This window comes from Homo sapiens, chromosome 2 (genome assembly GCF_000001405.40).
Source record: "Homo sapiens chromosome 2, GRCh38.p14 Primary Assembly".
NCBI lineage: Eukaryota > Metazoa > Chordata > Mammalia > Primates > Hominidae > Homo > Homo sapiens.
Window position 1 is genome coordinate 91,494,229 of NC_000002.12, and position 12,335 is coordinate 91,506,563.

Sequence of the window (12,335 nt, forward strand, 5' to 3'; positions counted from 1 at the left end):
TATTTCAGTTCAATCACGTGTTTGGGAAATACCTACTTCCCATCAGGTCTAAACTGCTGTAAAGGAGAATATAGGAAAAACAAATAAAACCAAGTTTCTACCCACAATGTACTTCCAATCTAGTTAGGGTAAAAAAGCAGCACACATATGTTCACAAAAACAGCTAAGAAAAGATAGTGCAGTACTAATAAATGAGGATTCAAGTGATAAAATCAAATATTTGTATTTCTTCATTTAACAATATTAGCTAAACACCTACTTTGTGCCTGGCACAGTTATTGGTACTGGGACTAAAGTAGTGACAAAACAAAACAGAGCTAACAATCCAGTGAATGAAACATATGTTGCCTAAGACGTATGTGTACCAGTAGCATACGTTATATTTACTTAGAACCAGAAACACAGTTGCAGGCAAAAGCAGTGAATATAAAAATAAACACAAAAAGCAACTGGATGCCTATTTAACTCTAGAGTCAAGTAGAGAACTGATGTTCAACTTAAAAATTGCTTGCTTGCTTATTCATTTATTTGTTTATTTCTTTGAGACAGGGTCTCACTCTGTTGCCGAGGCTGGAGTGCAATCATAGCTCACCGCAGCCTCGAACTCCTGAACTCAGGCAATCCACCTGCCTCAGCCTCCCAAAGTGCTGGAATTACAGGCTTGAGCCACCACGCCGGGCCTATGTGTTTTTAAGGAGGCCGGCCTGAGTGTGGTTTTCCTTGTTGAAATGTGTCTCTAAGCAGGTTCCTGGCTCCTGGACTTTCTGGGGCAGGGTTTCCACCCTGTCCCTGGGCAGCCCAGGGGCTGACCCGGAAACCGTGAATTCAGCATGCTCAGCAAAGCCTGCAAAGCCATCCTCTTCTGGACAAAGTTCAGACTTCAATTCCTCTGTTCTCAGATGTCAGGCATAGAGCAGAGCCTTGTTAACCACGGTCACACTGTTTCATACTGAATTGTTACAAATTAGTACTTATTCATCCTGCGTAACTGCAACTTTGTATTTTTAACCAATACCTCTTCATTTCCTCCTGCTGATGATCAGGGTATATCCATAGATAATCATCACATTGGCCTGGTGCGGTGGCTCACACGTGTAATCCCAGAACTTTGGGAGGCCGAGGCGGGCGGATCACGAGGTCAGGATACGAGACCATCCTGGCTAAAACGGTGAAATCCTGTCTCTACTAAAAATACAAAAAATTAGGTGGACATGGTGGTGGGTGCCTGTAGTCCGAGCTACTGGGGAGGCTGAGGCAGGAGAATGGTGTGAACCCGGGAGGTGGAGGTTGCAGTGAGTCGAGATCGCACCACTGCACTCCAGCCTGGGCAACAGAGCGACAGAGCGAGACTCTGTCTCAAAAAAAAAAAAAAAAGTCTACCAAGGAGTTTTGCTTCACCCATGAAAGGAAGAAAACGGTCCAGGTAAAACGGCCATCGGGATGTAACAAAAAATTGTCAATGATCACACCCTATAGAGGTGGCTGATTTGATACAACAGCCAGTGAAATTTTTGACGACAAATATTGCAGACTGCAAGAGACGCTTCTTGTTCGTGGAAATAGAAATAAAGCATGGTGTCTGCGCCCGGCTTTCCGCTGTAAGCTGAAGTACTTCACGGCAGCAGGAATTGGGCAACCCACCGTTTACACTCCACCCTTTGAAACTGGGCTGAATGGGGTGGGGACCCGCCTTTGGGGAGAAAAGCAAATTTTATTTAAGCCCCTGAAAGAGGAGAGGGTTGGCCAGGCTCGGTGGCTCACGCCTGTAATCCCAGCACTTTGGGAGGCTGAGGTGGGTGGATCACTTGAGGTCAGGAGTTCGAGACCAGCCTGGCCAGCACGATGAAACCCAGTCTCTACTGAAAATACAAAATGAACCAGGTGTGGTGGCACATGCCTGTAATCCCAGCTACTGGGGAGGCTGAGGCAGGAGAATCGCTTGAACCCGGGAGGCGGAGTTTGCAGTGAGCCAAGATCATTCCATTGCACTCCAGCCTGGGTGACAAGAGCGAAACTCTGTCTCAAAAAAAAAAAAAAATGCGTATTCCCCAGCCACCGGAAAATGAGATTTCTGAGCAGCTGGATCTGATAATTACCATGAGGTGTCATTACATGATATACACGTGCTTGGAAACAGTATATTATATGTCATAAATGTGTACAATCATTATGGAGTTTTTTTCTTGAGACAAGGTCTTGCTCTGTTGCCTAAGCTGGAGTGTGCAGTGATGCAATCATGGCTCAGTGCAGCCTTAACCTCCTGGACTCAAACCATCCTTCCACCTCAGCCTCCCCAGTAGCTGGAAATACAGGTCTGCACCAGTAGGTCCAGCTAACTTTTGTACTTTTTTTTTAAGAGATGGGATCTTGCTATGTTGCCCAGACTGGTCTTGAACTTCTGGCCTTGTGATTCTCCCACCTCAGCCTCCCAAAGCGCTGGGATTACAAGCGTGAGCCACTGCGCCTGATCCGAACGTTGACTCTTAAAAATAAAATAAAACTTTAGAAAAGAAGAAAATCTAGTGGTGGTTTTTGTCTTTTCATTGGCTCTGTGTTACTTTGTAGCTGCAATTTTTCTTTCCTTCATTAAGTCAGCTCCAAATTTGCAAACTCAAGTGAAAGGTGAGTGAGTTTTTTGTGTATCTTCTTGGCATGGGGTGGTGAGTGTGTGTACGTGTGTGTGTGTGTGTGTGTGTGTGTGTGTGTGTGTGTGTATTTGTATGTCCAGGGTTCCTCAACATCCCTGAAGACACTTGGGGCTCCTTAATATCCATATAATTTCTATTTTGACCAGAAAGAGGAAAAGTCAACATTTTGGAAACTCCAAACTCCACCAGGGGCTTGGCTGAAACAGGTGTGTGTCGTTTCTCCAACCAGCCAGCTCACCTGCAAATCTCAGAACTTATGTTAATGAGAGTTGCCTGCCCACAGCTCTTCTACGAATAATGTTTTTGTATGTAAAGGAGAAGCAAAAACATTTTTTTGACCTCTTGGAGCACGAAAATTAATAAGAAGTTGATAAAGCAAAGTCTGTGCCTGCTGAAAATAAAACAAGTGTGGTTTGTTTACCCACTGAAGCCTTCACGTTGTCAGGCCTGCGTCGAGATGATTTATAGACCAACACCCCATGAAATCATTTAAAGCAGATTAGATTCCCAGGACAATCCTCTCTAATATGACAAGCTGATAGAGGCTGACAGGTAACTAGGTTGTTCAGGATGGCAAGCCAGTCCCAGAAATTCTGATTAAATTAAAATATTAATGGTACCGCCGGGAGAGGAAGATTGAGTTGAGGTGGGCAAATTCTGTATGAGGACCGAGGAGCAAACACCACGTCGCAGTCGCTGTGCTGGAAGCAGAAGCCTGGGGGTGCCAGGGGGAGTTACCTTTGCTAAACCCGAAAGCAGGGCCTGCATTGCAATGAACTGTGCGGTGCTGGAGACAGGGTGGGGACAACACACCTGCCAGGCTCAGAAGGGAACACGGAGATTCCCTAATCACCTCCTCTCTCCTGCAGCTGCAAAGGTGACGGCCGGAGACCCTCATCTCTGCAGCTCTTAATTCCCCAGTAACCTCTCCCATGGCCTCTGCAAATGCTGGTTTGCAGGGCACTTTAACCCAATCTGAAATTGAGACTCCAACATCATGACTGTGTACAGATTCTCTAGGAAACTGTCTTGTGCCGGCTGGATGAAAGCTTATTGCTGTGTGTGTGTGTAGTGTGTGTGTGTGGTTTTGTTTTTTCCTTACAGAGAAAAATGCAAAGAATCTTGCCCCGGCCACAGGAAAAGGAGATTCCTGAGCAGTGTACATTTGCTCCTCTTTCTTTCTTTATCTTTCTTTCTTCTTTCTTCCTTTCTTTCCCTGTCTCTCCTTCCTTCTGTCTTCCTTTCTTTCTCTCTCTCCTTCCTTCCTTCTTTTTTCTCTTTCTTTCTTCTTTCTTTCTCTCTCTCCTTCCTTCCTTCTTTCTTCCTTGCTTTCTCTCCTTCCTTCCTTACTTCCTTCTTTCTTTCTCTCTCTCCTTCTTTCTTTCTTTCTCTCTTTCTTTCTTTCCTTCCTTCCTTCCTTTCTTTCCTTTCTTTCTCTCTCTCTCCTTCTCTCTCTCTCCCAATCTCTCTCTTTCTCTCTCCCCTTCCTTCCTTCCTTCCTCCTTCTTTCCTTCCTTCCTTCCTTCCTTCCTTCCCTTTTCTCTCTCTCTCTTTCCAGCTGGCTTGGCTGGCTGGCTGACTTGGCTGGCTTGTGTGGCTGGCTGGGCTGGCTGCGGTGGCTGGGTTGGCTGGCTGGCTGGGCTGGCTGGGCTGGCTGGGCTGGCTGGCTGGCTTGGCTGGCTGGGCTGGCTGGCTGGCTTGAATGGCTTGGCTGGCTTGGCTGGCCTGGCTGGCTGGCTGGCTTGGCTGGCTTGGCAGGCTGGCTGGTTTAGCTGTCTTGGGTGGCTGGGTGGCTGGCTGGCTTGGCTGGCTGGGCTGGCTGGCTGGCCTGGCTGGCTGGCTGGCTTGGCTGGCTTGGCAGGCTGGCTGGTTTAGTTGGCTTGGTTGGCTGGCTGGCTTGGCTGGCTTGACTGGCTGGCTGGCTTGGCTGGCTTGGCTGGCTGGCTGAGTTGGCTGGCTTGGCTGGCTTGGGTGGCTTGGCTGGCTGGCTGGCTTCATTGGCTTGGATGGCTGGCTGGCTTGGATGGCTGCCTGGCTTGGCTAGCTTGGCTGGCTGACTGGCTTGGCTGCCTTGGCTGGCTTGGCTGGCTAGGCGGGCTTGGCTGGCTTGGCTGGCTGGCTTGGCTGGCTTGGCTAGCTGGCTTGGCTAGCTGGCTTGGCTGGCTTGGCTTGCTGGCTGTCTTGGCTGGCTTGGCAGGCTGACTTGGCTGGCTTTGCTGGCTGGCTGGCTTTGCAGGCTTGGCTGGCTTGGCTGGCTTGGCTGGCTTGCTTGGCCGGCTTGCCTGGCTGGGTGGCTTGGCTGGCTTGGCTGGCTGGCTGGCTGGGTGTCTTGGGTGGCTTGGCTGGCTGGGTGGCTTGGCTGGTTTGGCTGGCTGGCTTGGCTGGCTGGCTTGCTGGCTTGCTTGGCTGGCTTGGCTGGCTGGCTGGCTGGCTTGGCTGTCTGGGCTGGCTGGCTCTCTTGGATGGCTTGGCTGACTGGGTGGCTGGCTTGGCTGTCTGTGCTGGCTGGCTGGCTTGGATGGCTTGGCTGACTGGGTGGCTGGCTGGCCTGGCTGGCTGGGTGGCTGACTGGCTTCGCAGGCTTGTCTGGCTTGGCTGGCTGGGTGGCAGGCTGGCCTGGCTGGCTGGGTGGCTGGCTGGCTTGGCTGGCTGGGTGGCTGGCTTGGCTGGCTGGGTGGCTGGCTGGCCTTGCTGGCTGGGTGGCTGGCTGGCTTGGCTGGCTGGCTGGCTGGGTGGCTGGCTGGCGTGGCTGGCTGGCTGGCTGGCTGGCTGGCTGGCTTGGCTGTCTGGGCTGGCTGGCTCTCTTGGATGGCTTGGCTGACTGGGTGGATGGCTTGGCTGTCTGTGCTGGCTGGCTGGCTTGGATGGCTTGGCTGACTGGGTGGCTGGCTGGGTGGCTGACTGGCTTTGCAGGCTTCTCTGGCTTGGCTGGCTGTGTGGCAGGCTGGCCTGGCTGGCTGGGTGGCTGGCTGGCTTGGCTGGCTGGCTGGCTGGGTGGCTGGCTGGCCTGGCTGGCTGGGTGGCTGGCTGGCTTGGCTGGCTGGCTGGCTGGGTGGCTGGCTGGCGTGGCTGGCTGGCTGGCTGGCTGGCTGGCTTGGCTGGTTTGGCTGGCTGGCTGGCTTGGCTCGTTTGGCTGGCTGGCTGGCTTGGCTGGCTGTCCGGCTTGACTGGCTTGGCTGGCTGCCTGGCTTTGCTGGCTGGCTGGCTTGGCTGGCTGCCTGGCTTGGCTGTCTGGGCTGGCTGGGTGGCTTGGCTGGCTTGGCTGGGTCGGTGGCTTGGCTGGCTTGGCTGCCTGGCCGGCTTGGCTGCCTTGGCTGTCTGGCCGGCTTGGTTGGCTGGCAGGCTGGCCGGCTTAGCTGGCTGGCTGGTTGGCTGGCTTGGCTAGCTGACTGGCTTTGCTGGTTGGCTGGCTTGGCTGGCTTGGCTGGCTGGTTGGATGGCCGGGTGGCTTGTCTGGCTTGGCTAGCCGGCTGGCTTAGCTAGCTGGATGGCTTGGCTGGCACGCCTGGCTTGGTTGGCTGGCTAGTTTTGCTGGCTTGGCTGCCTGGCTGGCTTGGCTGGCATGCCTGGCTTTGCTTGCTGGCTGGCTTGGCTGACATGGCTGCCTGGCTGGCTTGGCTGGCATGCCTGTCTTGGCTGGCTGGCGGGCCTGGCTGGCTTGGCTGGTTTGGCTGCCTGGCTGGCTTGGCTGGCATGCCTGTCTTGGCTGGCTGGCGGGCTTGACTGGCTTGGCTGGCTTGGCTGGCTGGGAGGCTTGGCTGGCTTGGCTGGCTGGTTGGCTGGCTGGCTTGGCTGGCTTGGCTGGCTTGTCTGGCTTGGCTGGCTTGGCTGTCTTTGTGGCTTCACTGGCTTGGCTGGCTGGCTGGCTTGGCTGGCTTGGCTGGCTGGCTGGCTGGCTGTCTTGGCTGGCTTGGCTGCCTGGCTGGCTGAGTGGCTTTGCTGGCTGGGTGGCTGGCTGGCTTGGCTGGCTTGGCTGGCTTGGCTGGCTAGCTGGCTTGGCTGACTTGGCTGGCTAGCTGGCTAGCTGGCTTGGCTGACTTGGCCGGCTAGGTAGCTTGGCTGACTTGGCTGGCTAGCTGGCTTGGCTGGCTTGGCTGGCTTGGTTGGCTGGCTGGCTGGCTGGCTTGGCTGGCTTGGCATGCTGGCTGGTTGGGTGGCTTAGCTGGCTGGCTGGCTGGCTGGGTCGCTTGACTGGCTTGGCTGGCTGGCTTGGCTGGCTTGGTTTGCCAGGCTGGAGTGCAATGGTGCAGACTTGGCTAGCTGCAGCCTCCACCTCCTGTGTTCAAGTGATCCTCCTGCGTTGGCCTTCCGAGTAGCTGGGATTAGAGATGAGTGCCACCACGCCCATCTATTTTTTTTGTATATTTAGTGGAGACGTTGTTTCACCATGTTGGCCAGGCTGGTGTTTTTTTTCATATTCTTTTTTTTTTTCTGAGTGGGAGTCTCGCTCTGTTGCCCAGGCTGGAGTGCAGTGGTGCAATCTTTGTTCGCTGCAACCTCCACCTCCCGGGTTCAAGCGATCCTCCTGCCTGGGCCTCCCGAGTAGCTGGGATTACATTCGTGTGCTACCATGCTCAGCTAATTTCTTTGTGTATTTAGTACTGACGGGGTTTCTCCATGTTGGCCAAGGTGCTCTTTTATTTTTCTTTTTTCTGAGATGGAGTCTCGCTCCATTGCCCTGGTTGGAGTTCTTCTTTTTTTTCAGATGGAGTGTCACTCGGTTGTCCAGGGTTCAGTGCAGTGGTGCAATCTTGGCTGGCTGCAGCCTCTACCTCCCGGGTTCAAGCGATCCTCCTGCCTGGGCCTCCCGAGTAGCTGGGATTACAATCGTGTGCCACCACGCTCAGCTAATTTCTTTGTATATTTAGTACTGACGGGGTTTCACCGTGTTGGACAGGCTGGTCTTTTTTTTTTTTTTTCTTTTTTTTGAGATGGAGTCTTGCTATATTGCCCAGGCTGGAGTGCAGTGGTGCAATCTTGGTTGGCTGCAACCTCCACCTCCTGGGTTCAAGCGATCCTCCTGCCTGGGCCTCTCGAGTAGCTGGGATTACAGGCGTGTGCCACCACGCCCAGCTAATTTTTTTGTGTATTTAGTAGAGACGGGGTTTCACCATGTCGGCCAACCTGGTCTTTTTTTTTTTTTTTTTTTTTTTTTTCTGAGATGGAGTCTCGCTCTGTTGACCAGACTGGAGTGCTTCTTTTTTTTCAGATGGACTCTCACTCTGTTGCCCAGGCCAGAGTGCAGTGGTGCAATCTTGGCTCGCTGCAGCCTCCACCTCCCAGGTTCAAGTGATCCTCCTGCCTGGGCCTCCCCAGTAGCTGGGATTAGAGACCTGTGCCACCACGTCCAGCAAATTTTTTTTGTATATTTAGTAGAGACGGGATTTCACCATGTTGGTCAACCTGGTTTTTTTTTTTTTTTTTTTTTTTCTTTGAGTTGGAGTCTCGCTCTATTGCCCAGGCTGGAGTGCTTATTTTTTTTCGGATGGAGTCTCACTTTTTTGCCCAGGTTGGAGTGCAGTGGTGCAATCTTGGCTCGCTGCAGCCTCCACCTCCCAGGTTCAAGCGATCCTCCTGCCTGGGCCTCCCGGGTAGCTGGGATTACATTCATGTGCCACCACGCCCAGCTAATTTCTTTGTATATTTACTAGAGACGGGGTTTCACCATGTTGGCCAGGCTGGTCTTTTTTTTTTTTTTTCCTGAAATGGAGTCTCGCCCTGTTGCCCAGGCTGGAGCGCAGTGGTACAATCTTGGTTCACGGCAACCACCCCCTCCCGGGTTCAAGTGATCATCCTGCCTGGGCCTCCCGAGTACCTGGTATTACAGGTGTGTGCCACCAAACCCAGCTAATTTTTTTTTTTTTTTTGAGATGTAGTATCGCTCTGACACCACCGTGGAGTACAGTGGCGCCATCTCGGCTCACTGCAACCTCCGCTTCCCAGGTTCAAGCAATTCTCCTGCCTCAGCCTCCCGAGTAGCAGGGATTACAGGCATGTGCCACCACACCCAGCTAATTTTTCTGTTTTTAGTAGAGACGGGGTTTCACCATGTTGGTCAGGCTGGTCTCGATCTCGTGACCTCGTGATCCACCCACCTCGGCCTCCCAAGGTGCTGGGATTACAGGCATGAGCCACCACGCCCGGCCCTATTTTTTTTGTATATTTAGAAGAGACGGGGTTTCACCATGTTGGCCAGGCTGGTGTTTTTTTTTTTTTTTTTTTTTTTTTGAGATGGAGTCTCGCTCTATTGGCCAGGCTGGAATGCTTCTGTTTTTTCAGATGGAGTCTCACTCTGTTGCCCAGGCTGGAGTGCAGTGGTGCAATCTTGGCTCGCTGCAGCCTTCACCTCCCTGATTCAAGCGATCCTCCTTCCTGGGCCTCCCGAGTAGCTGGGATTACAGACGTGTGCCAGCACGCCCAGCTAATTTTTTTGTATATTTTGTAGAGATGGGGTTTCACCGTGTTGGCCAGGCTGGTGTATTTTATTTTATTTTTTCTGAGATGGAGTCTCGCCCTGTTGCCCAGGCTGGAGTGCAGTGGTGCAATCTTGGCTCGCTGTAGGCTCCACCCCCAGGGTTCAAGCGATCCTCCTGCCTGGGCCTCCCGAGTAGCTGGGATTACATTCATGTGCCACCACGCCCAGCTAATTTCTTTTTATATTTAGTAGAGATGGGGTTTCACCATGTTGGCCAGGCTGGCCTTTTTTTTTTTTCTTTTTTTTTTCTGAGATTGAGTCTCACCCTGTTGCCCAGGCTGGAATGAGGTGGTGCAATCTTGGTTCGCTTCAACCTCCACCTCCCTGGTTAAAGCGATCCTCCTGCCTGGGCCTCCCGAGTAGCTGGGATTACGGGAATGTGCCACCACGCCTAGATAATTTTTTATACATTCAGTAGAGACAGGGTTTCACCATGTTGGCCAGGCTGTCGTTTTTTTATTTTTTTTGAGATGGAGTCTCGTCCTGGCATGGCTGGCTGGCTGGCTTGTATGGCTTGGCTGGCTGGCTGGCATGGCTGGCTTGGCTGGTTCGCTGGCTGACAGGCTTGGCTGGCTGGGTGGCTTGGCTGGTATGCCTGGCTGGGTGGCTTGGCTGGCTTAGTTGGCTGGGTGGCTTGGCTGGCTGGCTGGCTGGCTGGCTGGCTTGGCTGGTGGGGTGGCTTGGCCGGACGCCTCGCTTGGCTGGCTGGATGGCTTGGCTGGCACGGATTGCTTGGCTGGCTGGCTGGCTTGGCTTGCGTGGCTGGCTGGCTGGCTTGGCTGGCTTGGCTGTCTTGGCTGGCTGGAAGGCTTGGCTGGCTGTGTGGCTTGGCTGTCTTGGCTGGCTGGGTGGCTTGGCTGGCTGTGTGGCTTGGCTGGCTTGGCTGGCTGGGTGGCTTGGCTGGCTGGCTAACTGGCTTGGCTGGCGTGGATGGTTGGCTGGCTTGGTGGGTGGCCGGCTTGGCAGGCTGGCTGGCTGGCCTGACTGGCTTGATGGCTAGATGGCTTGGCTGGCTGGGTGGCTTGCCTGGCTTGGCTGGCTTGGCTGGCTGGCTGGCTGCTTGGCTGGCTTGGCTGGCTGGCTGGCTTGGCTGGTTGGCTGGTTTGGCCGGCTTGGCTGGCTTGGCCGGCCGGGTGGCTTGGCTGGCTTGGCTAGCCGGCTGGCTTAGCTGGCTGGATGGCTTGGCTGGCATGCCTGGCTTGGCTGGCTGGCTGGCTTGGCTGGCTTGGCTGCCTGGCTGGTTTGGCTGGCATGCCTGTCTTGGCTGGCTGTCGGGCTTGACTGGCTTGGCTGGCTTAGCTGCCTGGCTGGCTGGCTGGCGGGCCTGGCTGGCTAGGTGGCTTGGCCTGCTTGGCTGGCTGGGTGGCTGGCTGCCTGGCTGGCTGATTGGCTTGGCTGGCTTGGCTGGCTGGGTGGCGTGGCTGGCTTGGCTGGCTGGGAGGCTTGGCTGGCTTGGCTGGCTGGGAGGCTTGGCTGGCTGGGTGGCTGGCTGGCTTGGCTGGCTTGGCTGGCTTGGCTGGCTTGGGTGGCTGGCTGCCTGGCTGGCTGATTGGCTTGGCTGGCTTGGCTGGCTGGGTGGCTTGGCTGGCTGGGTGGCTTGGCTGGTTTGGCTAGCTGGCTGGCTGGGTAGCTTGGCTAGCTGGCTGGCTTGGCTGGTTGGCTGGCTTGGCTGGCTTGGCTAGCCGGCTGGCTTAGTTGGCTGGATGGCTTGGCTGGCATGCCTGGCTTGGCTGGCTGGCTGGCTTGGCTGGCTTGGCTGCCTGGCTGGCTTGGCTGACATGCCTGGCTTTGCTTGCTGGCTGGCTTGGCTGGCTTGGCTACCTGGCTGGCTTGGCTGCCTGGCTGGCTTGGCTAGCATGCCTGTCTTGGCTGGTTGGCGGGCTTGGCTGGCTTGGCTGGCTTGGCTGGCTTGGCTGTCTGGGCTGGCTGATTGGCTTGGCTGGCTTGGATGGTCGGGTGACTTGGCTGGCTTGAGTGGCTGAGTGGATTGCCTAGCTTGGCTGGCCGGCTGGCTTGGCAGGCTGGCTGGCTTGGCTGGCTTGGCTCGCTGGCTGGCTGGCTGGCTGGCTGGCGGGCCTGGCTGGCTAGGTGGCTTGGCTGGCTTGGCTGGCTGGGTGGCTTGGCTGGTTTTGCTGGCTGGGAGGCTTGGCTGGCTTGAGTGGCTGAGTGGATTGCCTAGCTTGGCTGGCCGGCTGGCTTGGCAGGCTGGCTGGCTTGGCTGGCTTGGCTCGCTGGCTGGCTGGCTGGCGGGCCTGGCTGGCTAGGTGGCTTGGCTGGCTTGGCTGGCTGGGTGGCTTGGCTGGTTTTGCTGGCTGGGAGGCTTGGCTGTCTTGGCTGGCTGGCTGGCTGACTGACTTGGCTGGCTTGGCTGGCTTGGCTGGCTTGGCTGGCTGGCTTGGATGGCCGGGTGGCTTGTCTGGCTTGGCTGGCCAGCTGGCTTAGCCGGCTGGATGGCTTGGCTGGCATGCCTGGCTTGGCTGGCTGGCTGGTTTTGCTGGCTTGGCTGCCTAGCTGGCTTGGCTGGCCTGCCTGGCTTTGCTTGCTGCCTGGCTTGGCTGGCTTGGCTGCCTGGCTGGCTTGGCTGGCATGCCTGTCTTGGCTGCCGGGCGGGCTTGACTGGCTTGGCTGGCTTGGCTGCCTGGCTGGCTTGGCTGGCTTGGCTAGCTGGCTGGCTGGCTGGCGGGCCTGGCTGGCTAGGTGGCTTGGCTGGCTTGGCTGGCTGGGAGGCTTGGCTGGCTTGGCTGGCTGGGTGGCTTGGCTGGCTTGGCTGGCTGGGTGGCTGGCTGGCTTGGCTGGTTTGGCTGGCTTGGCTGGCTTGGGTGGCTGGCTGCCTGGCTGGCTGATTGGCTTGTCTGGCTTGGCTGGCTGGGTGGCTTGGCTGGCTGGGTGGCTTGGCTGGCTTGGCTAGCTGGCTGGCTGGGTAGCTTGGCTAGCTGGCTGGCTTGGCTGGTTGGCTGGCTTGGCTGGCTTGGCTAGCCGGCTGGCTTAGTTGGCTGGATGGCTTGGCTGGCATGCCTGGCTTGGCTGGCTGGCTGGCTTGGCTGGCTTGGCTGCCTGGCTGGCTTGGCTGACATGCCTGGCTTTGCTTGCTGGCTGGCTTGGCTGGCTTGGCTGCCTGGCTGGCTTGGCTAGCATGCCTGTCTTGGCTGGTTGGCGGGCTTGGCTGGCTTGGCTGGCTTGGCTGGCTTGGCTGTCTGGGCTGGCTGATTGGC

At 55.7% G+C, this 12,335-nt stretch overlaps 1 pseudogene; it reads right to left on the reverse strand.

Moving 5' to 3' along the window:
• Positions 1–1,310: 1,310 nt before the first annotated feature.
• LOC101927984 (uncharacterized) lies at positions 1,311–2,015 on the reverse strand (annotated as a pseudogene).
• Between the last annotated feature and the right edge of the window lie 10,320 nt (positions 2,016–12,335).